The sequence below is a fragment of the Homo sapiens genome, chromosome 15 (genome assembly GCF_000001405.40).
Source record: "Homo sapiens chromosome 15, GRCh38.p14 Primary Assembly".
Lineage (NCBI taxonomy): Eukaryota > Metazoa > Chordata > Mammalia > Primates > Hominidae > Homo > Homo sapiens.
The window spans coordinates 78,593,005-78,621,000 of NC_000015.10; the positions used below are offsets into that span (position 1 = coordinate 78,593,005).

General features: G+C 46.7%; 2 protein-coding genes across 11 annotated transcripts in view; one reads left to right on the plus strand and one right to left on the minus strand.

The window, feature by feature from the left end:
- CHRNA5 (cholinergic receptor nicotinic alpha 5 subunit) overlaps window positions 1-2,265 on the plus strand; it is a 29,750-nt gene extending 27,485 nt beyond the window's left edge. For all 7 annotated transcript variants that reach the window (NM_000745.4, NM_001395171.1, NM_001395173.1 and 4 more), the window contains exon 6: window positions 88-2,265. In NM_000745.4, the coding sequence (NP_000736.2) occupies window positions 88-249 (162 nt within the window). In that variant the 3' untranslated portion in view covers window positions 250-2,265. The remainder of the gene's footprint in view (window positions 1-87) is intronic.
- On the minus strand, window positions 48-27,992 carry CHRNA3 (cholinergic receptor nicotinic alpha 3 subunit). Of its 4 annotated transcripts, NR_046313.2 has the most exons (8): window positions 27,709-27,992; window positions 25,772-25,911; window positions 25,613-25,657; window positions 24,020-24,129; window positions 8,249-9,260; window positions 3,536-3,728; window positions 910-1,007; window positions 48-187 (listed from the first exon to the last, which is right to left on the minus strand). NR_046313.2 is itself a non-coding variant. In NM_001166694.2 (6 exons), the coding sequence occupies exons 1-6, from the start codon at window positions 27,788-27,790 to the stop codon at window positions 107-109; spliced, it is 1,470 nt and encodes a 489-aa protein (NP_001160166.1). In that variant the 5' UTR covers window positions 27,791-27,992; the 3' UTR covers window positions 48-106. The 4 variants fall into 4 exon arrangements, 3 of the variants coding, with proteins under 3 accessions (NP_001160166.1, NP_000734.2, XP_006720445.1); NM_001166694.2 differs by lacking the exons at window positions 910-1,007; window positions 3,536-3,728; NM_000743.5 differs by lacking the exons at window positions 48-187; window positions 910-1,007 and having other exon boundaries at window positions 2,305-3,728.

Sequence of the window (27,996 nt, forward strand, 5' to 3'; positions counted from 1 at the left end):
TGGCTTCTAACTCAGTGTGTTTGTTATATCTTAAAATATGTACACAATTTACAATTATTTAATGCATTTTTATTTTTTTCCTAACAGGTTGTTGAAGATTGGAAATTCATAGCCCAGGTTCTTGATCGGATGTTTCTGTGGACTTTTCTTTTCGTTTCAATTGTTGGATCTCTTGGGCTTTTTGTTCCTGTTATTTATAAATGGGCAAATATATTAATACCAGTTCATATTGGAAATGCAAATAAGTGAAGCCTCCCAAGGGACTGAAGTATACATTTAGTTAACACACATATATCTGATGGCACCTATAAAATTATGAAAATGTAAGTTATGTGTTAAATTTAGTGCAAGCTTTAACAGACTAAGTTGCTAACCTCAATTTATGTTAACAGATGATCCATTTGAACAGTTGGCTGTATGACTGAAGTAATAACTGATGAGATACATTTGATCTTGTAAAAATAGCAAAATATTATCTGAACTGGACTAGTGAAAAATCTAGTATTTGTATCCTGGCAAATAATACTAATTTATAATCCACAGTAAAGTTCATCCTTTGACTGTGCTGGAGAATTCCAGTTGTATTTGAAGACTGATTTTAAAACTTTTCTGCATTTGGTAAAGGTATGTAAACTTTCCTGTACTCACTGAGTAACAGCTAATCTTTAATATAATATTATACTGCTATATTTAAAAAGCTGACTACTTGATATAATTACTTAATGTGATGCTTGATATAATAATTACTTAATGTGGCCGGGCACGGTGGCTCACACCTGTAATCCCAGCACTTTGGGAGGTCGAGGTGGGCGTATCACCTGAGGTTGGGAGTTCGAGACCAGCCTGACCAACGTGGAGAAACCCCGTCTCTACTAAAAATATGAAATTAGCCAGGGTGGTGGTGCACACCTGTAATCCCAGCTACCTGGGAGGCTGCGGCAGGAGAATCGCTTGAACCCAGGTGGCGGAGGTTGCGGTGAGCTGAGATCACGCCATTGCACTCCAGCCTGGGCAACAAGAGCAAAACTCAGTCTCAAATAATAATAATAACAACAACTTAATGTGCTGCTGCTTTTCCATAACCAACATTTTAAAAATAAATGAAAAACAGGAATTGGGAACTCCTTTAAGGCTTACTTTATTCTTTAGATGCTTAATTATTGTGTTAACTATTTCTGTAGCTTAGCTTCCACTGTAAAGTCATACAGTAGACAACTCCTGTGGACACGCAGTAGCATATCCTTAACATTAATTTCAGTCCTCTTGTCCACATTTCCCACAATTAATAGAACCATCTTCTATATAAATTGTGGTAGTATCTCTTTATCCTTGATCTTAGAATAGTCAGTCCACTACAATTACATGAACCCCATTTAAAAAACATATTTAGGGCCGGGGGCAGTGGCTCACATCTGTAATCCAAGCACTTTGGGAGGCTGAGGCAGGTGGATCACCAGAGGTTAGGAGTTCGAGACTAGCCTGACCAACATGGTGAAGCCCCGTCTCTACTAAGAATACAAAAAATTAGTCGGGCATGGTAGCAGGCGCCTGTAGTCCCAGCTACTCAAGAGGCTGAGGCAGGAGAATCGCTTGAACCTGGGAGGTGGAGGCTGCAGTGAGCCGAGACTGCGCCATTGCACTCCAGCCTGGCAACAAGAGCAAAACTCTGTCTCAAACATATTTTGGTCTAAATCATTCTGTGAGAAAACAATCTTCTAATATGAAACACAGTATTCTAATTTGGTATATGCACACTGTTATATACCTGTAATATTTCAGTTTTCTCTCCTTCATTCTAACAATTACAATAATAGAATCTTAGAGTTGCAAGGGCCTTTAGATGTAATCAATCTTAGCCTATTACTAGTACAGCGTAAATGATTTAGTACAGTATAATGTATCACAGTTAAAACAGTTAAATTCCATCTCTAAATGTCACCACTTCAGGTGTGACCAGGTAGCAAACACTGACAGAAACCCTCGTTCAATTTAGAACTCTTAGCTGTTGAGATCACAAACACCTCATTTATTTATAATAAGTAACCTATCTAAGTTCAAGCCAATGCTCTTTGGAAGGCGGAGGAGACCCTATCTAATTTGCATTTAATCGTAGGCAGGTGTTTAATGCCATTTAATGAGTGAAAGCCTGGTGTGATGAATTTAGATTGCCTGCCAGCTACCTACCTTAGTTCGTATACATCCCTGATCCCTCTTATACTACCATTACTGTTACTTATGATTTTTATATATAAATTTTTATCGACATCTTTCTTTTGACTTATTGAAACATGAGTCACAGCGGGCTGCAATTCTGTCCATTTTATTTTTGCACAGGAAAAACTAGTGAGACAAGATTCAAACAGTCTCTGTGAATCATCTGTCAGTGGTGATGATCACGTTAAGTTTCAGAAGTGTAGTACATGATACTCTTAACAATTTGTCTAAAGCAATGTTTCTCAACCAGGGGCAATTTTGCTCCTAAGGGAACATTTAACAATGGAGACATTCTTGGTTATCATAACTGGTGAAGAAGCAAGGTATGTCATTGGCATCTAGTGAGTTGAGGCTAGGGTACTGCTAAAGATCCTACAATGCACAGGATACCCCCATTCTGTACCAACACATATTTATCCAGCCCAAAATGTCCATAGTGCTAAGGCTGAGAAACCCTGTTCTAAAGGTTCATGCTGTGGTCCAAATGTGTCCTCCCCCAATTCATATGTTGAAACCTATTCCCAGCGTGATTGTCTTAGATAGAAGGTGGGGCCTTGGAAAGGTGATTAGGCCATGGGGGCTCTGCTCTCATGAATGGGGTTAGTGCCCTTATAAAATAGACCCCACAGAGATAGCTAGTCCCTTCAGTCATGTGAGGACACAGCTAGAAGGCACCCTTTGAGGAAGAGGACCCTCACCAGACACCAAATTTGCTGGTGCCTTGACCTTGGACCTCCCAACCTCCAAAACTGAGAAGTTTCTGTTGTTTATAATCCACCCAGTTTATGGTGTACTAAGACAGTTATATTAACAATGAATAACTAGGCATGATTTCTCATGGTATAATTTAGAAGTATGCAAGAGAAGTAGTTGAAGCTCTCTGAAATGGAGGCATAGCCCTTTAGACCCAGTAAAGAACGAGAAATGCATGGTAAGAAATGGGTAACGATGGGGGATTGCTGAATTAGTATAAACCTTCAAAGAGATTATGGGCTAAATAAGAAAAATTACTGGGAGATCTGTAGTGATAACTGAATGACTTTTCATATTTCTGAACAGCATTTTTCTATCCAGTTTTGTTTCAACAACTAAAAGGAAACATTTTTACATGTATATTCCATAGCATAGCATACTAATCACATAGAATCACATTTTGACATCTCTTTACCATACCAAAAAGGCTAGTTAAATGTTCATTTATCGGTAATAAATACTCTTGACATTTTTTTTTTTGCATGATTCCAAGATAAGTGGAAAATAAGTAAACCTCGAAATGCCAAAAACAAAGCTGGTAGCTTGATAACAGAAAGTACGTTCTTACTAGGAAGCAGCCTCCTCCTGCCCTGACACAAGGAAGTCTCCCAGGCAGGCACACAGCTTAGTGCTTATGCATCTTCCCTGGCCATCAGGGGTTGCAGAAACAATCCTGCTGTCCCTAGAATGCACACCAGGGTGAAAACCCACAGAAAAATACGATCAATCACCATGGCAACATACTTCCAATCATCTTGAATCTGCAAAACAAAATGATAAAAGAAAAAAAACATGGAGGGAAAGGCAAATGAATACATTTTCAATACTGAAGATGTAATCAACACGTTGCAGTAGAAGCCATTTTGTCTCTAATATGTAAGAAGCCCTTTTTTTCCTAATTGATGTGGTCTGAGGAAATCCACCATTCTCAAGTTTCTGTTTATGCAGGAGAGAAACAGGTATAAAAGATCTGTCATGTTAGATCTGTTTCAAATCAGAAGTTTCCTAAAAATGCATAACCTAGTTTTTCTAAACTGAATTCCAATTTTATAAAGTTAGTGAAACCAGTTACTTAGGCTTCCATGGCAGGATTCTGGGCCTTGGTTAGAATGGCTAATATAGTCCAATATAATCTACCATTGTTTCAAAGTACTCTATCCAGTTTTAGATATAAATTTGGCGCAGTGGCTCACGCCTGTAATCCCAGCACTTTGGGAGGCTGAGATCACCTGAGGTCAGGAGTTTGAGACCAGCCTGGCCAACATGGTGAAACCCTGTTGAAACCCTGTCTCTACCAAAAATACAAAAATTGGCCAGGAGTGGTGGCACATGCCTGTAATCCCCAGCTACTTGGGAGGCTGAGGCATGAGAATTTCTTGAACCCGGGAGGCGGAGGTTGCAGTGAGCAGAGATCACGCCACTGCACTCCAGCCTGGGCAACAGAGCGAGACCCTGTCTCAAAAACAACAAAATAAATTTCCTTTTAACATCTGTTCCAAAAATGAGATAAGCGTTATCAGGGCAAGTCCATCCTCATCACTCTTTCCCTCCCCACTGCCCTCTCCACGATGCCCAGCTGATCAAAAGTCATTTTTACTCATAAGACCAAAGTATCATGGGATACTGTGCAGTTGGAGAGCAGGTTGAACATCAGAAATAATTGCTGACAATAAAGTAAAAGATGGGAGAAAAAGCAAGACCAATTGTATATAATACAGCTTCAATTTGGGCTTGAAATAGGAAGGAAAATTGTAATTATACTCCTAGACAATTCAGAAAGCAAAGAAGCCATAATTGAATTGAGAGAACCCATGAGTCAGCTGATTTTGAAGCAATAATGAAATTAATAAATTACATGCTGCCTCTTTATTATAAGTATACTGAAATGGCGCTGGGAGATGAAGATTTTACATCACCATTGTGAGCCTGAGTAAATGTGTTCTCTTGGTGACACTACTGTCATAGGTAAAATTAGAATTATGATGCCATATTTGCCATGAGGTACTTCATTTGAATTCCTAAGACTGGTTTGTGTGTGCTTCAGATACACCTTGAGATGTGAGATTCCTACCCACCCCCTACCAGCCACCTCCTAAGGCTCTAGGAGGCAGAGGTGTGGAAAAGCAGAGACTTGGAGACAAACTGATTAGAATCCCAGCTCTGCTCCTTTTGAGTTGTGAGAATCTGGGTAAATTCCATGACCGCTCTTAGCCTCAATTTCCTTATCTGTAAAATGGGGATAAGAACAGTACTTCCCTCAGAAGCTTGTTTCAGAACAGAGTCCTTAATGAATAGAGCCTAGTGATACTAATGTTGATTTATAAAATGACCCTTACTCAAGCCTCATGAAGAAAGATGACACTTGGGTTTTATACATGAATAGAAATAGTGGTGCAAAAAGAGCTGGCTGGACAGAAATTTTATATCTTTTTTTTTTTTTTGAGACAGGGTCTTGCTTTGTTGCTCAAGCTGGAGTGCAGGGGTGCAATCATGGCTTGCTGCAGCCTTGACCTCCCGGGCTCAAGTAATCTTCCCCACTCAGCTTCCTGAGTAGCTGGAACTACAGGTGTGTGTCACTACACTTGGGCAATTTTTTGTTTTTTGAGACGCCCAGGCTGGAGTGCAGTGGCATGACCTCGCCTCACTGCAAGCTCCACCTCCCAGGTTCAAGCAATTCTCCTGCCTCAGCCTCTTGAGTAGCTGGGATTACAGGTGCCTAGCACCATGCCCAGCTAATTTTTGTATTTAGTAGAGATGGGGTTTTATGTTGGCCAGGCTGGTCTCAAACTCCTGACCTCAGGTGATCCACCTGCCCCAGCCTCCCAAAGTGCTGGGATTGCAGGCGTCAGCCACTGCACCCGGCATTTTTTTTTTTTTTTTGAAACGGAGTCTCACTCTGTCACCTAGGCTGGAGTCCAGTGGTGTGATCTTGGCTCACTGCAACCTCTGTCTCCCGAGTTCAAGCAATTCTTGTGCCTCAGACTCCCGAGTAGCTAAGATTACAGGCTCATGCCACCACCACCCCCCGGTTAATTTATTGTATTTTTAGTAGAGATGGAGGTTCACCATTGTTGGCCAGGCTGGTCTTGAACTCCCAACCTCAGGTGATCCACCTGCCTCGGCCTCCCAAAGTGTTGGGATTACAGGCGTGAGCCACTGCACCTGGCCTGATTTTTAAATTTTTTTTGTAGAGAAAGGGTTTCCCTACGTGGCCCAGGATGGTTTTGAACTCCTGGGCTCAAGTGATCCTCCTGCCTTGGCCTCCCAAAGTGTTGGATTACAGGTGTAAGCCACTGTGCCTGGCTTATATCTAGCTCCTAAAGTCTTTAAAGCACAATGATATTGGCCATTTTCTGATGAGTCACAGATGTTAGGCAAAGTGGTGAACTAGCCCAAATTGAGAGCTGGCCCAGAAGCATGAGAAGACTACTTTAAAGACCCAGAAACTGGGAAGGTGTGGCCAGAGACTGGGGCTGGCAGGGGGAGGGGCTTGGTGGAGGGGAGAGCTAGGGAGATCTTTGTTCCCCTGCCACTTTGCCTCTTTAGCCTGCCACTCCCAGCCCAGAGATGCAGGTTCAGGGGGTCCCTCACAAGCCCAGCAGAGCCTGGCTAAAGGGAAGTGCAGAGAACTGAGCTGCCCATTGACTGGTGGAGCCTGAGGCTTTCCTCCTCTCCTTTGTAGCCCCCTGGATTTATTTCTCTTCTTATTGGCATGCCTTCTCAAGAATGTTTATGGATAAATGTTCTTCTGAGGGCTCAAAAGGCCAGGTGTGGTGGATCACACCTTTAATCCTAGCACTTTGGGAGGCCAAGGCGGGCAGATCACCTGAGGTCGGGAGTTCAAGACCAGCCTGACAAACATGGCAAAATCCCCTCTCTATTAAAAATACAAAAAATTAGGCATGGTAGCGGGCGGGTACCTGTAGTCCCAGACACTTGGGAGGCTGAGGCATGTGAATCACTTGAACCTGGGAAGCAGAGGTTGCAGTAGGCAGAGATTGTACTACTGCACTCCATTCTGGGTGACAGAGCAAGACTCCATCTCAAAAAAAAAAAAAAATAGGTAAAACTAATCAATTATCAAATAAGTCAGTATAATGGTTTTTTAAAAAATTAATTAATTAATTAAAGAAAGGACTTCACTCTGTTACCCAGGCTGGAGTGCAGTGGCATGATCACAGCTCACTAGACTTCCTGAGCTCCAGTGATCCTCTCACCTCAGCCTCCTGAGTAGCTGGAACTACAGGCACGTGCCACCACGCCTGGCTAATTTTTGTATTTCTGTTAGAGACGGGGTTTCGCTATGTTTCCCAGGCTGGTCTCAAACTCCTGATCTCAAGCCATCCACCTGCCTCAGCCTCCTAAAGTGCTAGGATTACAGGCGTGAGCCACTGCGCCTAAGCCAGGATGGTGGGTACCAAGCAGGGAGGGAGACACTGACTGGCAAGGGCATTGGGGAACTTTCTAGGGGCCCTGGGAGTGTTCTATATCTTTACCTGGGTCTTGGTTACATGGTTGTATACATGATGTAAAAACTCATTGAGATGTACACTGAAGAGGTGTGCACTTTACTCCACGTAAATTCTTCCTCAGTGAGAACACATATACAATTAGAAAGTAAAAATAAAGGCCAGGTGCGGTGGCTCATGCCTGTAGTCCCAGCATTTTGGGAGACTGAGGTGAGCAGATTGAGTCGAGGAGTCTGAGACCAACCTGGGCAACATGGCAAAACCCCATCGGTACAAAAAAATTAGGGTATGGTGGCGGGGCATCTGTAGTTCAAGCTACTCGGGAAACTGAGGTGGGAGAATCGCTTGAGCTGGGAGGCGGAAGTTGCAGTGAGCCAAGATTGCGCCACTGCACTCCAGCCTGGGCAACAGAGCAGGACCCTGTCTCAAAAAAATAAATAAAAATAAAAATATAACCTCAATTAACCAATACTAACTGGAGATCATCTGGCCCCATGCCCTTTTCCAGCCTACATCCTAATCTAGTCTATTGGCATCAGGTGTTTTCATGGTCCAGCCTGCCAGCCTGCTGGCAGCCTGGTGGCTAGCTTCAGGGTACCACATACCAAGCTTTATCATCCCATTTTACAGAAGAGAAAACAGGCTCAGAGAGGTGAGGTAACATACCCAAGGACATATAACTGGTCTTAACACAGGCCACTGACTCCAGAGGGCAATTTCTTAACCCCCTACCCTATGCCTTGCCCCACGAGGAACCCATAAATATTTGTTGAATGAATGAATGACCAATGTAATAAAAGCCATATCCTTACCTCTTTGGCTTCATTTTGTGCTTTCATATTTTCAGCAATATACTTGACACTTTGGATGGCTTCTTTGATTTCTGGTGACAAAGCAGAGAGGGACAGCACAGCATCAACAGATTCAGAACTAGAGCTTCTCGTGAGGTTAGCACTGAAATTGGAGATTTTTATCCTGCGGTGGTGGCAGTAACCACACATCCCGTCCTGGCAGGGGTAGCCCTCCTTGCAGCCTTTGGACTCTGCGCGGCTGAAGCAATTCAGATTTGAGAGCTCGGCACCGTAGAGGGGCCTCGGCTTCTGAGCGTTGCCCTCGTTGCTTGTTGGCCTGGTCATGAACATGACCCTGGGGAGCAGGTTCAAGAATACAGTCTTCACCCATGAGGGCATTGTGTGTGTCGTCGGGGTTCTGTAGTGCACGTTGAGCACGAAGACGGTGATGACGATGGACAAGGTTACAAAAATCATGGTGAACAGGAGGTACTCTCCAATCAGGGGGATGACCAGCGAGGTGGAAGGGATGGTCTCAGTGATCACCAGGAGAAACACCGTCAGGGAGAGGAGGACAGAAATGCACAGGGTCACCTTCTCACCGCAGTCGGAGGGCAGGTAGAAGACGAGCACAGTGAGGAAGGAGATGAGCAGGCAGGGGATGATGAGGTTGATGGTGTAGAACAAGGGCAGGCGCCGGATGTACAGCGAGTATGTGATGTCGGGGTAGATCTCCTCGCAGCAGTTGTACTTGATGTCGTGTTTGTAGCCTGGGGCTTTGATGATGGCCCACTCGCCGCTCTCCCAATAGTCCTTGAGGTTCATGGAAGAGCCGATCAGGACCAGATCGATTTTCGCCTTATCGTAGGACCAGGAACCGAACTTCATGGTACAGTTTTGGTAATCAAACGGGAAGTAGGTCACGTCGATTTTACAGGAGCTCTTAAAGATGGCCGGAGGTATCCAAGTCACCTCCCCAGTGTACTTGAGTAAGGCTTTGGTCTTGTCGTCCACCTGGAAATCCCCAACAGCACTGCAAAGACAAAGAGGGGGCACAGTGACACACGGTCATTAACACTTGGTCATATTGTGGTCATCTCAACCAGCTTCTCACAGTAAGTAATGATTTGGAAGGCACTGGAAGATGAGAGCTAAAGTGCCATAAAAGGTCACCCATTTCCTGGCCCCATTTACCAACAGGGATACTGAGGCCCAAGCTCCCTCCCCAACAACAATCTGAGATATGGATCACTCCCTGCCCCAGGGCAGGCCACCAGTTCATCCCACAATACAGGTCCCAAACTGATAGACTCCCAAATGCCCGAAGAGGATTGGTCCCCCTTTAATTAAAGAAATGGGAGGAAGGTCATCCTCCTGGAGCCAGGTGCTGAAGCAGCCTTTGGGATTATTTGCCACCCAGGGTCCCTGAGGCTTGGCCCTCTCCTCATTCAGTCTGTACCGGGCGCCTAATGTGTGTGTGAAACCAGACTATGGATGTGGAAGGGGCTGCACAGACCACCCAGGGGAGTCCACCCCCATTAAACGGAACCTTGTCAGATGGATTTACTTCCAAACCCTATCTCTGGATCCTGATTTGACCATTCCCTGTACCCTCCCCACCCCCATTCTTCCCAGTACTGTTTTACAATAATCATGTTTTGCTTCCTTGTCTTTCGAATTCAGCCTAACAGGTTTCTTCACTTTCTGTGTCCCTATCCCCATTTTCTCCCCATGTTTCTTCTCCCTTCCTTTTCACTATGTGCATCCTGACATTTATTTTCACACAGAAATAGACATTTTTCTTTTTCTTTGAGACAGAGTCTCACTCTGTTGCCCAGGCTAGAATGCAGTAGCTCACTACAATCTCTGTCTCCCGGGGTTCAAGCAAGTCTCCTGCTCAGCCTCCTGAGTAGCTGGAATTATAAGCATGTACCACAAACGCTCAGCTACTTTTTCTATTTTTAGTAGGGATGGAGTTTTGCCATGTTGGCTGGGCTGGTCTCGAACTCCTGACCTCAAGTGATCTGCCCACCTCGGCCTCCCAAAGTGCTGAGATTACAGGCTTGAGCCACTGCCTGGCCTTAGACATGTACGTTTTTCTAGGAATAGTCTTGTTGGTTTGTTCGACAGAAAATCAGCTGATGATCCCTGTTGAGTCTTGCATTGGGCATTCCATCCGCGATGGCCAGATGAGGCCATCTGAGAGCAAGGCCAGTTGCTTCCACAACAATGGCCCTGCCCAGGAAGGTTCTTAAACATTCCTCGGATCAGCCCTGTTAAGTTTCTTAGCCTTGTGAAGGCATTTACATCCTCCAAAGGGAGCAACTGCCATACTCCTTTGCCTTGTAAACAATGACAAAGCCTAAACATTTAGGGATATCCTTGTGCTGCTGTAATTGGATGGGAACCTGTGAAAACAGAAGGGGAATGTTGTGGTGCATGTGCTTCTTCCTTGCTAGTCTCTCCTGGGTCTCGGTTGAGCAGGATCATTACCCATGAAGGCTCAATGCCAAAGCCACTAACTATCTTTCCTCTGGTTGGCTAGTTTGCCCCCAATGGTGCCCTGCTGAGTTTATACATTCTTAGCCCCAATTTCACTCCCACCATGCCCTTAATTCCCTACGAGTATTCCTGCTCCTGGCTCCAGGAAAAAGGGAGAGGTAGGAGGGTGGGGTGGAGGTGAACATCCACACAGTCCCCAAGTGGACTCAGCCCATGTTTAGCACTGAGGGGCCCTGGAGAGGGCTGGGCTAAGCAGAAGGTCGAAAAGACCCTCAGGAAGGCAGAGGCCTCCTGAACCAATTCCATACAGCATCCTGGATCAACAAAATGTCAGAGCGGCAAGGGAGCTTCAGAGCCCAGGGTCTGGTCCAGGGGTTGGCAAGCTGTGGTCCTCTTTCTGTAAATAAAATCTGGGGGGAATAGTGCCACTGCCTTTTGTTGTCCATTATCTATAGCTACTTTTGAGCTCCAGGGGCAGAGATGAATAGCTGTGACCGTCACTGTATGACCCACAACGCCTAAAATATTTATTCTCTGGCCCTTTAGAGAAAACATTTGCTAGCCCCTGCTCTAGTCCAACACCTTCATTTTGCCAAAGAGAAAACTGACGGTCAAAGGACAGGAATGACTTGCTCGAGACTCCACAGAGTTTATGGCAGAACCTTGGCCATTCAGAACTTGGGTCCCCAAGTGAGGAGACACAGAAATGTGTGCATGTGCCCAAAGAACATATACTAGAGGTTAGCTGAGCTTGGCTGATGGCTCATTTCTGGGGATCCTGGTCACTGTGGCTGCTGCCCACAGCACCCCTGGGGTGTGTCCACCCAGATCAGAAGGCCTGTGTGCTGCCTGGGGCAGTGTCAACAGTCATATCTCTACTAGCAGAAGACAGAACATGCAGACCCAGCTGGAGACTGGGGTCTGGCACAGCACCAGCCTCATAAAGGGCACTCAGTAAATATTTGTTGACCTAACGAATGACCAAAAAATAAATGAAAGCTGGGTGTGGTGGCTCACACCTGTAATACTAATACTTTGGGAGGCTGAGGCGGGCAGATCACCTGAGGTCAGCAGTTTGAGACCAGCCTGGTCAACATGACAAAACCCCATCTCTACTAAAAATACAAAAATTAGCCAGGTGTGGTGGTGCACACCTGTAATCCCAGCTACTCGGGAGGCTGAGGCAGGAGAATTGCTTGAACCCAGGAGGTGGAAGCTGCAGTGAGCTGAGATGGCACCACTGCACTCCAGCCTGGGTGACAGAGTGAGATTCTGTCTCAGTCAATCAATATCACACCCAGAGATAGCTGGCAGCAAGGGACAGCATTGGTGGGAAGGGTCTGAGCAATGTACTGCCAAACCATGTGAGGCAATTAAAAAAAGAAAAGGTAGTATGGGTGCAAATGATCAGCTGAGGTAGCACTATCATACAGGGGGCATTTAAGAACAGAAGTGGGGTGGGGTGGTGAGGGCTATGAGAAAGATCATGATGGCATGGGTTTTTAAAATCTCTCTAAATTTCTTCAGAAAAATAGGGCAACTAGGATGACAGCAAAATAACAAATCTGATCACATTGTCAACAAAGTTAGGTTACACAGCACCTCAGGATATGAGAGTGTGCGGTCAGACCACCACCACCAGCAGGACCTGTGGGACCCACATGCGATTAGCTGCGGGGTAGAGGCAGCCGGGGGAAAAGAAAGAAGGGTTCTCATGTCCTAAGATCCTAAGAGTGCCAGACACAGGAATCTCCAAAAAGTGGCTGCCCCTCAAAAGACGAGGACCCCACTCTGCACTGAATCCTCAGCAAGGGGAACAATGGAACAGAGAGGGCTCCACAGGTTCCAATTTGTGGGCAAGAACCAAAAAAATCCCGTGGGAATCCACTCAGTGTCTGCAGAGGTCAGTCAGTGCTGACGTGGGCTCTTGAGGATGTCAGAAATGCCTCCCAAAACCTCCCTTTCAGAAGGACAGAGACCCACTCAGAGAAAAAGCTGCTTATGGTAGAATCCAAACTCAACAGGGTAAGAAGTGGGGATGAGAAGAGAAAGAAGGTTCAGAAACTGAAGTCAGCATCCAGAGGCAGCAGCTCGTGGAGATGCCATGACTGTGCGGTCATGTCATGACTGAGGTGTCATGACTGTGGAGACTGGGGAGGTGGCCATGCATTGAGACAAGTGGCACCTCAAGGTAACTACCGTCTTCTCCTATTCCCCCCAAGAACTTGCCCTAAAAGTAAAGCAAGGCTATCTATTTAAACAAGAGCAACGAAGCTTTATGAAAACATATTGTAAGAAAAACACAAACTGGGTACAGCAGCTCATGCCTGTAATCCCAGCACTTTGGGAGGCTGAGACAGGTGGATTACCTGAAGTCAGGAGTTCGAGACCAACCTGGCCAACATGGTGAAACCCCGTCTCTACCAAAAATACAAAAAAAAATTTAGCTAGGCGTGGTGGCAGTCACCTGTAGTCCCAGCTACTTGGGAGGCTGAGGCAGAAGAATTGCTTGAATCTGAGAGGCAGAGGTTGCAGTGAGCCAAGATCATGCCATTGCACTCCAGCCTTGGTAACAAGAGCAAAAAAACAGAAGATGTCTCAAAAAAAAAAAAAAAAATACAAACACAAGTAACTGAATTAACACACACGCAGATAACAGCAACTACAAAAATAGAGCCACCAAGCAGATGAAGCTGACGATAATCTGATATTACAAATTAAATGAAAAGAAACTAAGAAATTTTTCAAAATTGTGAAAGAACAGAAATCAGAAAAGATAAGGGATAATTTGGTTAAATGAAAGAATGTATAAAGAACTAGCAGAATTTAGGAAAGAATTAGGAAAAAGAAAAAAATCATTTTAGAAATAAAACCAGAAGAGGCCAGGGGTGGTGGCTCAGGCCTGTAATCCCAGCACTTTGGGAGGCCGAGGTGAGTGGATGACGAGGTCAGGAGATCGAGACCATCCTGGCTAACACAGTGAAACCCCGTCTCTACTAAAAAAAATACAAAAAAATTAGCCGGATGTGGTGGTGGGCACCTGTAGTCCCAGCTACTTGGGAAGCTGAGGCAGGGGAATGGTGTGAACCTGGGAGGCGGAGCTTGTAGTGAGCTGAGATCATGCCACCACGAGAGTCTGTCTCAAAAAAACAAAACAAAACAAAACAAAAAACACACAAAAAAGAAAACCAGAAGAAACATAAGAACAAGCAGTCTGGGTGTGATGGCTCACACCTGTAATCCCAGCACTTTGGAAGGCTGAGGCGGGCAGATCATTTGAAGTCAGGAGTTTGAGACCAGCCTGGCCAACATTGTGAAACCCCATCTCTACTAAAAATACAAAAAATTAGCTGGGCATGGTGGCACACACCTGTAATCCCGGCTACTCAGGAGGCTGAGGCAGGAGAATAGCTGGAACCCAGGAGGCAGAGATTGCAGTGAGCCAAGGCACTCCAGCCTGGCCAACACAGTGAGACTCTGTCTCCAAAAAAAAAAAAAAAAAGATTTTCATGGAAGATAAAGAGGAGCCAAGAATTTTACACCCAGCCAAGTTACCTAAAAGTATTCTCTAAAAAGGTTACAATGAATTATGAACTTGCCAGAACACAGAGTATACAGTGTCCATGAATACTCTGAGGATTCTGTCAGCAAATGAACTTTAGAAAACAAAATATCACAGGAGAAAGGCTGGGAATGATGGCTCACACCTGTAATCCCAGCACTTTGGGAGGCCGAGGAGGGTGGATCACAAAGTCAGGAGATTGAGACCATCCTGGCTAAGTCAGGAGATTGAGACCATCCTGGCTAAAACGGTGAAACCCCGTCGCTACTAAAAAAATACAAAAAAATTCGGGTGGAGCCAAAATGGCCAAATAGGAACAGCTCCGGTCTACAGCTCCCAGCATGAGCAATGCAGAAGATGGGTGATTTCTGCATTTCCATCTGAGGTACCAGGTTCATCTCACTAGGGAGTGCCAGACAGTGGGTGCAGGATAGTGGGTGCAGCGCACTGTGCATGAGCCAAAGCAGGGCGAGGCATTGCCTCACTTGGGAAGCACAAGGGGTCAGGGAGTTCCCTTTCCTAGTCAAAGAAAGGGGTGACAGATGGCACCTGGAAAATCGGGTCACTCCCACCCTAATACTGCACTTTTCCAACGGGCTTAAAAAACGGCACACCAGGAGATTACATCCTGCACCTTGCTCGGAGGGTCCTACACACACGGAGTCTTGCTGATGGCTAGCACAGCAGTCTGAGATCAAACTGCAAGGCGGCAGCGATGCTGGGGGAGGGGCGCCTGCCATTGCCCAGCCTTGATTAGGTAAACAAAGCAGCCGGGAAGCTCGAACTGGATGGAGCCCACCACAGCCCAAGGAGGCCTGCCTGCCTCTATAGGCTCCACCTCTGGGGGCAGGGCACAGACAAACAAAAAGACAGCAGTAACCTCTGCAGACTTCCCTGTCTGACAGCTTTGAGGAGAGTAATGGTTCTCCCAGCACGCAGCTGGAAATCTGAGAACGGGCAGACTGCCTCCTCAAGTGGGTCCCTGACCCCCGAGCAGCCTAACTGGGAGACACCCCCCAAGTAGGGGCAGACTGACACCTCACACGGCCGGGTACTCCTCTGATACAAAACTTCCAGAGGAACGATCAGGCAGCAGCATCTGTGGGTCACCAAGATCCACTGTTCTACAGCCACCGCTGTTCTGCAGCCACCGCTGCTGATACCCAGGCAAACAGGGTCTGGAGTGGACCTCTAGCAAACTCCAACAGACCTGCAGCTGAGGGTCCTGTCTGTTAGAAGGAAAACTAACAAACAGAAAGCATATCCACACCAAAAACCCATCTGTACGTCACCATCATCAAAGACCAAAAGTAGATAAAACCACAAAGATGGGGAAAAAACAGAGCAGAAAAACTGGAAACTCTAAAAATCAGAGCACCTCTCCTCCTCCAAAGGAACATAGCTCCTCACCAGCAATGGAACAAAGCTGGACGGAGAATGACTTTGACAAGTTGAGAGAAGAAGGCTCCAGACGACCAAAATACTCCAAGCTACAGGAGGAAATTCAAACCAATGGCAAAGAAGTTAAAAACTGTGAAAAAAAAATTAGACAAATGGATAACTAGAATAACCAATGCAGAGAAGTCCTTAAAGGAGCTGATGGAGCTGAAAGCCAAGGCTGGAGAACTACGTGAAGAATGCAGAAGCCTCAGGAGCCGATGCAATCAACTGGAAGAAAGGGTATCAGTGATGGAAGATGAAATGAATGAAATGAAGTGAGAAGGGAAGTTTAGAGAAAAAAGAATAGAAATGACCAAAGCCTCCAAGAAATATGGGACTATGTGAAAAGACCAAATCTACATCTGATTGGTGTACCTGAAAGTGACGGGGAGAATGGAACCAAGTTGGAAAACACTCTGCAGGATATTATCCAGGAGAACTTCCCCAATCTAGCAAGGCAGGCCAACATTCAGATTCAGGAAATACAGAGAATGCCACAAAGATACTCCTCGAGAAGAGCAACTCCAAGACACATAATAGTCAGATTCACCAAAGTTGAAATGAAGGAAAAAATGTTAAGGGCAGCCAGAAAGAAAGGTCGGGTTACCCACAAAGGGAAGCCCATCAGACTAACAGCAGATCTCTCGGCAGATACTCTACAAGCCAGAAGAGAGTGGGGGCCAATATTCAACATTCTTAAAGAAAAGAATTTTCAACCCAGAATTTCATATCCAGCCAAACTAAGCTTCATAAGTAAAGGAGAAATAAAATACTTTACAGACAAGCAAATGCTGAGAGATTTTATCACCACCAGGCCTGCCCTAAAAGAGCTCCTGAAGGAAGCGCTAAACATGGAAAGGAACAACTGGTACCAGCCACTGCAAAAACATGCCAAAATGTAAAGACCATCAAGGCTAGGAAGAAACTGCATCAACTAACGAGCAAAATCACCAGCTAACATAATAATGACAGGACCAAATTCACACATAACAATATTAACTTTAAATGTAAATGGGCTAAATGCTCCAATTAAAAGACACAGACTAGCAAATTGGATAAAGAGTCAAGACCCATCAGTGTGCTGTATTCAGGAAACCCATTTCACACGCAGAGACACACATAGGCTCAAAATAAAGGGATGGAGGAAGATCTACCAAGCAAATGGAAAACAAAAAAAGGCAGGGGTTGCAATCCTAGTCTCTGATAAAACACTTTAAACCAACAAAGATCAAAAGAGACAAAGAAGGCCATTACATAATGGTAAAGGGATCAATTCAACAAGAAGAGCTAACTATCCTAAATATATAGGCACCCAATACAGGAGCACCCAGATTCATAAAGCAAGTCCTTAGAGACCTACAAAGAGACTTAGACTCCCACACAATAATAATGGGAGACTTCAACACCCCACTGTCAACATTAGACAGATCAACAAGACAAAGTTAACAACGATACCCAGGAATTGAACTCAGCTCTGCACCAAGCGGACCTAATAGACATCTACAGAACTCTCCACCCCAAATCAACAGAACATACATTTTTTTCAGCACCACACCACACCTATTCCAAAATTGACCACATAGTTGGAAGTAAAGCACTCCTCAGCAAATGTAAAAGAACACAAATTGTAACAAACTGTCTCTCAGACCACAGTGCAATCAAACTAGAACTCAGGATTAAGAAACTCACTCAAAACCACTCAACTACATGGAAACTGAACAATCTGCTCCTGAATGACTACTGGGTACATAACGAAAGGTAGGCAGAAATAAAGATGTTCTTTGAAACCAATGAGAACAAAGACACAACATACCAGAATCTCTGGGACGCATTCAAAGCAGTGTGTAGAGAGAAATTTATAGCACTAAATGCCCACAAGAGAAAGCAGGAAAGATCCAAAATTGACACCCTAACATCACAATTAAAAGAACTAGAAAAGCAAGAGCAAACACATTCAAAAGCTAGCAGAAGGCAAGAAATAACTAAAATCAGAGCAGAACTGAAGGAAATAGAGACACAAAAAACCCTTCAAAAAATTAATGAATCCAGGAGCTGGTTTTTTGAAAAGATCAACAAAATTGATAGACTGCTAGCAAGACTAATAAAGCAGAAAGAAGAATCAAATAGATGCAATAAAAATTGATAAAGGGGATATCACCACCGATCCCACAGAAATACAAATTACCATCAGAGAATACTACAAACAACTCTACGCAAATAAACTAGAAAATCTAGAAGAAATGGATAAATTCCTGGACACATACACTCTCCCAAGACTAAACCAGGAAGAAGTTGAATCTCTGAATAGACCAATAACAGGAGCTGAAATTGTGGCAATAATCAATAGCTTACCAACCAAAAAAAGTCCAGGACCAGATGGATTCACAGCTGAATTCTATCAGAGGTACAAGGAGGAGCTGGTACCATTCCTTCTGAAACTATTCCAATCAATAGAAAAAGAGGGAATCCTCCCTAACTCATTTTATGAGGCCAGCATCCTCCTGATACCAAAGCTGGCAGAGACACAACCAAAAAAGAGAATTTTAGACCAATATCCTTGATGAACATTGATGCAAAAATCCTCAATAAAATACTGGCAAACCGAATCCAGCAGCACATCAAAAAGCTTATCCACCATGATCAAGTGGGCTTCATCCCTGGGATGCAAGGCTGGTTCAACATATGCAAATCAACAAATGTAATCCAGCATATAAACAGAACCAAAGACAAAAACCACATGATTATCTCAATAGATGCAGAAAAGGCCTTTGACAAAATTCAACAACCCTTCACGCTAAAAACTCTCAATAAATTAGGTATTGATGGGATGTATCTCAAAATAATAAGAGCTGTCTATGAGAAACCCACAGCCAATATCATACTGAATGCGCACAAACTGGAAGCATTCCTTTTGAAAACGGGCACAAGACAGGGATGCCCTCTCTCACCACTCCTATTCAACATAGTGTTGGAAGTTCTGGCCAGGGCAATTAGGCAGGAGAAGGAAATAAAGGGATTCAATTAGGAAAAGAGGAAGTCAAATTGTCCCTGTTTGCAGATGACATGATTGTATATCTAGAAAACCCCATTGTCTCAGCCCAAAATCTCCTTAAGCTGATAAGCAACTTCAGCAAAGTCTCAGGATACAAAATCAATGTACAAAAATCACAAGCATTCTTACACGCCAATAACAGACAAACAGCCAAATCATGAGTGAACTACCATTCACAATTGCTTCAAAGAGAATAAAATACCTAGGAATCCAACTTAAGAGGGATGTGAAGGACCTCTTCAAGGAGAACTACAAACCACTGCTCAATGAAATAAAAGAAGATACAAACAAATGGAAGAACATTCCATGCTCATGGGTAGGAAGAATCAATATCGTGAAAATGGCCATACTGCCCAAGGTAATTTATAGATTCAATGCCATCCCCATCAAGCCACCAATGACTTTCTTCACAGAATTGGAAAAAACTACTTTAAAGTTCATATGGAACCAAAACAGAGCCCGCATCGCCAAGTCAATCCTAAGCCAAAAGAACAAAGCTGGAGGCATCACACTACCTGACTTCAAACTATAGTACAAGGCTACAGTAACCAAAACAGCATGGTACTGGTACCAAAACAGAGATATAGATCAAAGGAACAGAACAGAGCCCTCAGAAATAACGCCACATATCTACAACTATCTGATCTTTGACAAACCTGACAAAAACAAGCAATGGGGGAAAGGATTCCCTATTTAATAAATGGTGCTGGGAAAACTGGCTAGCCATATGTAGAAAGCTGAAACTGGATCCCTTCCTTACACCTTATACAAAAATTAATTCAAGATGGATTAAAGACTTAACATGTTAGACCTAAAACCATAAAAACCCTCGAAGAAAACCTAGGCAATACCATTCAGGACATAGGCATGGGCAAGGACTTCATGTCTAAAACACCAAAAGCAATGGCAACAAAAGCCAAAATTGACAAATGGGATCTAATTAAACTAAAGAGCTTCTGCACAGCAAAAGAAACTACCATCAGAGTGAACAGGCAACCTACAAAATGGGAGAAAATTTTCACAACCTACTCATCTGACAAAGGGCTAATATTCAGAATCTACAATGAACTCAAACAAATTTACAAGAAAAAAACAAACAACCCCATCAAAAAGTGGGTGAAGGATATGAACAGACACTTCTCAAAAGAAGACATTTATGCAGCCAAAAAACACATGAAAAAATGCTCATCGTCACTGGCCATCAGAGAAATGCAAATCAAAACCACAATGAGATACCATCTCACACCAGTTAGAATGGCGATCATTAAAAGGTCAGGAAACAACAGATGCTGGCGAGGATGTGGAGAAATAGGAACACTTTTACACTGTTGGTGGGAGTGTAAACTAGTTCAACCATTGTGGAAGTCAGTGTGCCGATTCCTCAGGGATCTAGAACTAGAAATACCATTTGACCCAGCCATCCCATTACTGGGTATATACCCAAAGGACTATAAATCATGCTGTTATAAAGACACATGCACACGTATGTTTATTGCGGCATTATTCACAATAGCAAAGACTTGCAACCAACCCAAATGTCCAACAAGGATAGACTGGATTAAGAAAATGTGGCACATATACACCATGGAATACTATGCAGCCATAAAAAATGATGAGTTCATGTCCTTTGTAGGGACATGGATGAAACTGGAAACCATCATTCTCAGCAAACTATCGCAAGGACAAAAAACCAAACACCGCATGTTATCACTCATAGGTGGGAATTGAACAATGAGAACACATGGACACAGGAAGGGGAACATCACACACCAGGGACTGTTGTGGGGTGGGGGGAGGGGGGAGAGATAGCATTAGGAGATATACCTAATGCTAAATGACGAGTTAATGGGTGCAGCACACCAACATGGCACATGTATACATATGTAACAAACCTGCACATTGTGCACATGTACCCTAAAACTTAAAGTATAATAATAATAAAATTTAAAAAAAAACTGTAAAGCAGTGGCAAACAAACAAAAAAAAAACCAAAAAAAACCACAAAAAAATTAGCCAGGCGTGGTGGCGGGCGCCTGTAGTCCCAGCTACTTGGGAGGCTGAGGTAGGAGAATGGCGTGAACCAGGGAGGCGGAGCTTGCAGTGAGCCCAGATCATGCCACTGCACTCCAGCCTGGGCGACAGAGTGAGACTCCATCTCGGGGTGGGGGGAAAAAAAAGAAGAGAAATCCTTAACAGAGGGTGAATCCTGAGCAATTGAAGTTCTAACTAGGAGAAGAGAGAGAACATGAGTTGGATGATTTTCTCTAAATGTTATTTTCAGCTTCAGATTTCAAAGAAATTCCTTATGATATTTGCTCCTCTCCACAGCCAATTTGCAACATTTTGCTACGCCTCTCATTATTGCTAAAATCATAAATCCTACAGTACTCCAGCTGTTCACTCAAGATTGCCAGCAAGGAAATGGCTATAAAACGCAAAACATGAAGATTAAACTTTTTGCTCATTTTCTTAATTGTAGCTTAGCAAAAATTCTCTACACCCTGCCCAGTTCCCTTAAGAGCATTTGAACCATGTGATTCCTACGACAATTCAGTGCAAGAAGAAAAAAATCTGCAAGCCTGTTGAGTTTATATTGTGTCCCAGTTCTTTGATGACCAGTTTACAAATACAAATTACATACAAGAAACATTTATAAGTGCTGTGTTTCCTTGGGAAAACAGTAAATAAAACATGGACTGTCTTTAGAGTGAGTAAAGACCCACTTTTGTTTTTGCCAGAGACCAGAAAGTGGGATTCAGTATAAAACATAGCTTCTCTAGTCCTGACACTAACTGTAAAATCAATACTACTAATAAGAAAACATTATTTTGTACTAATATGGCATAAAAACCTAGAAGTATTCTTAGCATTAAAATCAGAATAGACTAATTCTACATCAACTGTTTTGCTGAAAATGTTTAAATGTAAATGTAAAAGGTTTAAATATTCAAACATTTTAACTCTAAAATGCAGGTACAAAAATGATATTCTTCAATACCCAGAGAACTAACTAGCATATTGCAAAATATCAACTAAAATTTATGTCAGTCCAATGAAAGAGCTTAAATGTGGGAAGTATCAGTTTTGTGTGGACTTAGAGAAAAGGGAGGGGTTTTGGAGGTGCTATGATGAGCAGGACCTGTCTGGCAGAGGAAGAACCTTTGCAAGAGAGAAAGAGGAGAGGCCTCCCAAAACTGGCGGGAAGATGCACATTCCGGATCCATAGGAGACTGGAAGTGGCCCACTGTGAAGGACTGGCTCGAGAGCAGCTTCTCTCGATGGCAGGAGCCAGGGAAGTCTTTTTAGTCCTGGACTCACCCTTCTCAACTACGACCTGGATGCAGCCACCCAGACGGGCTGGGAGCACGGGGCCCAGAATGCTCATCCTACTCTGTACATGGGAACCTTGCTTCACATACTTGGGGGGCTATCAATCCTTTCTCCAAGGCCCAGACCTTTTCCCAGTGGGAGGAGGCCTGCAGGGTACACCGTGTAGCAGGGTAACTGTCTGATGGCAGGTTTGCTGTTGGGAGAGTAGAGAAGAGGTTTGGGGACACAGGCAGAGACAGGCTGGGGTGCCCAGCTCAGCCCCCTGATCACAGCATCGGCCTCCTGCATCCACTGCCCACAGTGGCCCCAAAGCCACAGTGGATGGCTGAGACCACCCCAGACCTGGCTGTGCCACACATCCACTCTGGGCCTCAGTCCTCATCTGTGAAATGTCAGGGAAGGGCCAGATCAGGGATCCCCAAAGCAAGCTGGTCACACAGCCCCCAGGACAGCTTTGTGAAAACACCCATTCCTAGGCCTACCCAGACCCACTGACTCAGTGTTTCTGTGGGGCAGGACCTGGGGACAGGTATAGAGATTTTTTGGATAACGTAATACATATTAACTTTAGAAAAGACAGTGAGGAACAAAGAATAAAATATTTTGAATTCAGGCACCTGTATTTTTTTTTTTTTTTTTTTTTTGAGACGGAGTCTCACTGTCACCCAGGCTGGAGTACAGTGGTGTGATCTAGGTCACTGCAGCCTCTACCTACCAGGTTCAAGCGATTCTCCTGCCTCAGCCTCTGGAGTAGCTGGGATTACAGGCACACGCCACCATGCCTGGCTAATTTTTTGTATTTTTAGTAGAGATGGGGTTTTGGTATATTGGCCAGGCTGGTCTCGAACTCCTGGCCTCCAGTGATCCTCCTGCCTCGGCCTCCCAAAGTGCTGGGATTACAGGCATCAGCCACCATGCCTGGCCAAACACCTGTATTTTTAAAAAGCTCATTGGGGCTGGGCATGGTGGCTCATGCTGTAATCCCAGCACTTTGGGAGGCCAAGGCAGACAGATTGCTTGAGGTCAGGAGTTCAAAACCAGCCTGGCCAACATGGCAAAACCCCATCTCTACTGAAAAATACAAAATTAGCCAGGTGTGGCAGCACGTGCCTGTAATCCCAGCTACTTGGGAGGCTGAGGCAGGAGGATTTCTTGAACCCAGGAGGTGGAGGTTGCTGTGAGCCGAGATCCCACCACTGCACTCCAGCCTGGGTGACAGTAAGACTCAGTCTTCCCCCCCCCACCCCCCCAAAAAAAAAGCTCCTTGGTAACCATGCCAGTCAGCAGGCTGGGAACCCTGGGACTACACAGCTTAGGCCCACCCAGCTATGATCTTCTCCAACACCCTCATTCTCTTTCAAAGACAAGGTGAGGAGGGACCGTTTACTCCATTCCTGTCTGTTTGCACAGAGCTGCTAACAGATGCTACATTCCAGGTGCCCCGGGCATCTGAGCCTTCCCCCTCCACACACTGGGGTTGGTCCTTGGCCCATGGATCTTTCCAGCCTTATGTCCCACAGTCCAGCCAATGAGGTCACCTTGGCTGCCCATGACATACTCTCCTGCCTCCCCGGGCCCTCCTCTGCTCCATCTCCCTGTCCTGAGATCCTACACAATCTTCAGGATTCACTTCAAATGCCAATTCTTCCTTGAAACTTTCCCAATGCCATCTTCCACCCACCCATGCCTGCTTTGAAGCCACTCAGCACACTGCTGCTCTCTGTGGCTCTCCAACATCTCTGGTACCTGGTATGTAGTAGTTGCTGATTACATACCTATGGACTGAACAAATGAATGCAGCCTTCTTGGAAAAGGCCAAGGAAGGCCAGGTTTTAAGCACAGTGGGCCAAAAACCCAGAGCCCAGGCTGACAGCCCTGAGAGGGCGTGGGCCCCCCAGCACCTTACTTGTTATACAGCACAATGTCTGGCTTCCAGATCTTCTGTGCAGGGACACGCATGAACTCTGCCCCACCATAGTCAGAGGGGTTCCATTTCAGCTTGTAGTCATTCCAGATCTCGGGGAAGGAAGCAGGGAGGGAGAAGGAGACGGTAAAAGAATCAGCCTGGTTTTACTTCCCGTGGCACCACCCATCTTGGTGACTCCCCACCCCTGCTGCATGTGACCGAACCACATCCATGCCATGATCACATAGTCCAACTTCTCCTGTGGGTGTAGTGCAGGAGAGAGCACACGGCTGGCTCTGCGGGCCACCTCCTGGCACTAGGGAAGCCACTGCCCCCATAACCATGAGCAAGCCCAGCCCCTCATCAACCAAACAGGGCCTACTCGTGCTTTCTCTGGTCACTTCTAGTGCCAGGTGGAGACTCCTGGACTTCATGCATCATGTCCAGGTCCATGTGCCTGTTTACAGCCCCTGAATGGCTCTCCAGGGGTGTTTTCCAACATAGACACTCTTTCACCCCAAGGTTAAGCAAGACTGGACTCTGAAAGATTCCGGGGGAAGAATCCATGACCCCTGCAGGGCCCAGGAAGTGTCTGGGTCCAGAGGCTGGGAGGTCTGAGTCCTGAGCACCAGAGGAGAGAGGGGTGAGGCTGCGGCCACAGAGGGAACGTGTGCATCAAGTACTGGGTGGGGCACTGTGCCCATCTGGCTTTCCAACCTCCTGGGGATGAAGGCTGTGTGTGCTGAGTGCTCAGCTGGCCAGGCTGGCAGAAGGGTCACCCGCAGGCCAATGGGCCATTATGTCTCCTGGCAAGTCTGGACAAAGCCTCCCTGGGGAGGACATGTGGAAGGCAATTTCTTGGCCTCGATCTGAACAGGAAAATCTACTCCCACGCTACCAACAACAGCAGCATCTTATTCTGACTTAAGAATGAGTATAGGGGCTGTGCACAGTGGCTTCTGCCTGTAACCCCAGCACTTTGGGAGGCTGAGGTGTGTGGTTTGCTTGAGATCAGGCGTTCGAGACCAGCCTGGGCAACATGGCGAAACCCTGTCTCTATAACAAATCCAAAAATTAGCCAGACGTGGTGGTGCACAGCTGTGGTCCCAGCTACTTGGGAGGCTGAGGCAGGAGAACTGCTTGAACCCTGCTGGTGGAGATTGCAGTGAGCCGAGATCACGCCACAGCACTCCGGCCTGGGTGACAGAGCGAGATCCCGTCTGGAAAAAAAACTGAGTTTTTAGCAAGAGGGAGAGAAGGAGGTGTCTCAGGCACCACCCCAGGGTTTGGGGGCAGGGCTTCAATCTCAGGTTCGTACTCTTCTGTTGTGTGAACATGGAGAATGTCTTTCTCCAGGCTGCAACCTGTCCATCTGGGACTTGAGGGGTTGGGCCCTACAGTCCTTCCAGGGGGACTGTAGGGCAGTGCATGTGACCTCAAGCCTTAGAAGAGATATATCTGCCAGTCAGTGGACCCCAATCTGGGTTCCACAGAAGTAAATGAAGCCTGGTCTTTAGGCCTTTCTTGGTTCACCTAAAGCAAATAAAACAGTCACCACCAGGGGGCAGCAGTGCCTAGGGTCTGGTCACTTACTTGCTTGAGCCACAGGTTGGTCTCCATGATCTGGTTTACTTCATCCTAGAAAGAGGAATTAAAGTTGACAGGAGAATTACAAAACAAGACTAATTCTGGGAAAGGCTCCTCCAGAAGCCCCGGTCCCCATGGCCACGGCTCGTGGCTTCCAGCACTCACCACCTTCACCAGCTGAGACATGGACACCTCGAAATGGATGATGACTGGGTCAGACACGTTGGCTACAGGCCGGATGATCTCATTGTAATCTTCAAACAGCCGCTCAAATAGACGGTGCTCAGCCTCTGAGGCCCTGGCCACTGTGGGAAGCAGCCCTGTCAGTCCCTGGGGAAATCGTTACTTAACCTCCCCCACCCAGCCCAGCAGAAACATCACCCATCTACAGCATCCCCTCCACCTGTGGGGGGATTCTGTGGAACCCTAGACTTTCAGGCCAGTCTAACCCAGTGGGTTACAAAATGGGAAACTGAGGCCCAAGAGGGGCAGGATTCTACCTGGCCACACGCATTCAGTGAGAAGCACAGTGGTTGCAAGCCTGGGCTCTGGAGTTGGACAGATCTGGTGCAAATCCTGACAAATCACTTGTAAGCTGTGTGAGCTTAGGCAAGTGGCTTAACCTCTCTGAACCTGTGTCTTTACCAGTCAAAATAAGGATTATAAACGTATCCACCTCAAAGGGTTGTTGTGAAGGAAGTGCACAGCTTGGTGCTGCGGTAAGAGGTCAAGAACTATTCGCAATCTTTTCCTGGGTTGTTTCTGCCGGGTGGGGGTGTGGGGCAAATGCTGTCTGCCTGGGTACAGCCACTCACTGCTTCCACGATGGAAAGATGGCCAGTCCGCTCCCAGGGGCAGGGCCAACCACGGTCGCCCAGGCCCAGGTCTTCTACCTCCCAGCCTCCGGGAGAACACAGCCCAGGTCTGGGCCTCTCCTGCATTCCACCCTGTAGGGGTGGCCACCAGCCCTCTTAGAAGCCAAGGCACTGTGTGACTCCCGTGATCTCGTGTGACCCCCAGCTCTTGCTGATGCTGTCTTCATATCCTGATGAAAGACTCTGACCTCTGCAACCCTTGGGCACCCCTCTTTGTTCCTAAGCCACACCCCAGCACAAGTGAGGCATACCGGGTCAGCTGTCTTCTGATTCCCACGTACAGATCTGGGGGCAGCTTGGGGAAGCGGGAGGAGAATCCTCTAGGAAGTTGAATCCAACTTCCTCAGGTCTTGAAATAGGATTTTTCCTGCTCCCCACTCTCCTTCCCCAGGATGAAAGAAGGGTCCCAGGCAGGAGGTCGGTTGAGAGCGTATGGCGTTCTGAGTAGTGCAGGCCTCGGCACCGAGGGCGGAAAGCGCTCTGAGCTCACAGCCGCACGACAGACCGCCGGCCTGGGCCCTCCAGGAATTCCCTGCAGCCTTGCCCGGTCCCCGACTCTCGCTACCCACCAGCCCTCCCAGGCACCCAAGAGCCTCCCAGCGGCGGGCCAGGGCCGGCTTCCCCCAGCAGGCTCCTCTGGAGAGCGGGAGGAAGACAGGAGGCGCTCTCCCGGTGGAGGGTCCCTCAGCGACGCAGCCAGGAGCGCTAGGAGGCTACAACCGGAGGAGAGGCTGGCGCTCCAGCTCCAGCCCCAGTCCCGAAGCGACTCCCCTCTTCCCGAGGTGGCCTTGGCCAAGTCTTCAGCCATCTCCGTCAAATGAGGAGGTGGGCGGGATGCAGACGGTGGAGCGGGAGGCTTGGGCGCGCCAGTTTGGGAGCCAGTGCGCGGGGCAGGGCGACGGGCAGCGCGGGGACGCGAATCCCCAACTCCTGCGCCCAAGACGAAGGACCCGGTCTCGACCTCCCCATCACCCGGCGCGTACCAGCGCCCGCTCAGTGACTCCCAGGTTTGGTGGTGGCTAGGGGTGGGAGGTGAGCCGAAAGGGAAAAAGCCACCCCACCCAAGTCGCCGCCGGGCTGGAGCCAGTCTGCGCGGGTTCCGAGTCCCCGGCGACGGCGCCAGCCCTCTCCGCTCGCCCGCGCGGTGTTCTCGCCGGCAGCCCCTCCGGACCCCGCGCCCCTTCTCGGGCGCCCGTCCCTCCGGAGCCCTAACGCCTGTGCGCGTACCTGGCAGCAGAGACAGCAGCAGCAGCAGCAGCAGCCGCGGCGGCGACAGCGCCAGGGGCAGCGAGAGCGGGCCAGAGCCCATGGCTGGTGGCCGGGCTGGCCGCGGACCCGGACGGTCGGGAGCGGGCGCGGCGGTCGCAGAGACGGCCTCTCCCCGCGCGGCTCCAGCGCAGACCCCAGACCTGGAGCCGTGCGGGCGGAGACGCGCGGGGCTCCTCTCCGCTTCGCCGCCGCTGGGTTTCCAGCGCCCTCGGACCCGCGGGAGGACAGGAACCATCCGGAGTGAAG

What these genes read in the sequence shown, in the direction of transcription:
- CHRNA3 (NM_000743.5), bottom strand. Translation starts at nt 27,790, where the DNA reads ATGGGCTCTGGCCCGCTCTCGCTGCCCCTGGCGCTGTCGCCGCCGCGG. An exon ending in CCAACCTGTGGCTCAAGCAA is followed by an intron (nt 24,130 to 25,612) that starts GTAAGTGACCAG and finishes TCCTTCCCCGAG; the next exon opens with ATCTGGAATGACTACAAGCT. An exon ending in CACAAAATGAAGCCAAAGAG is followed by an intron (nt 3,729 to 8,248) that starts GTAAGGATATGG and finishes TTTGTTTTGCAG; the next exon opens with ATTCAAGATGATTGGAAGTA.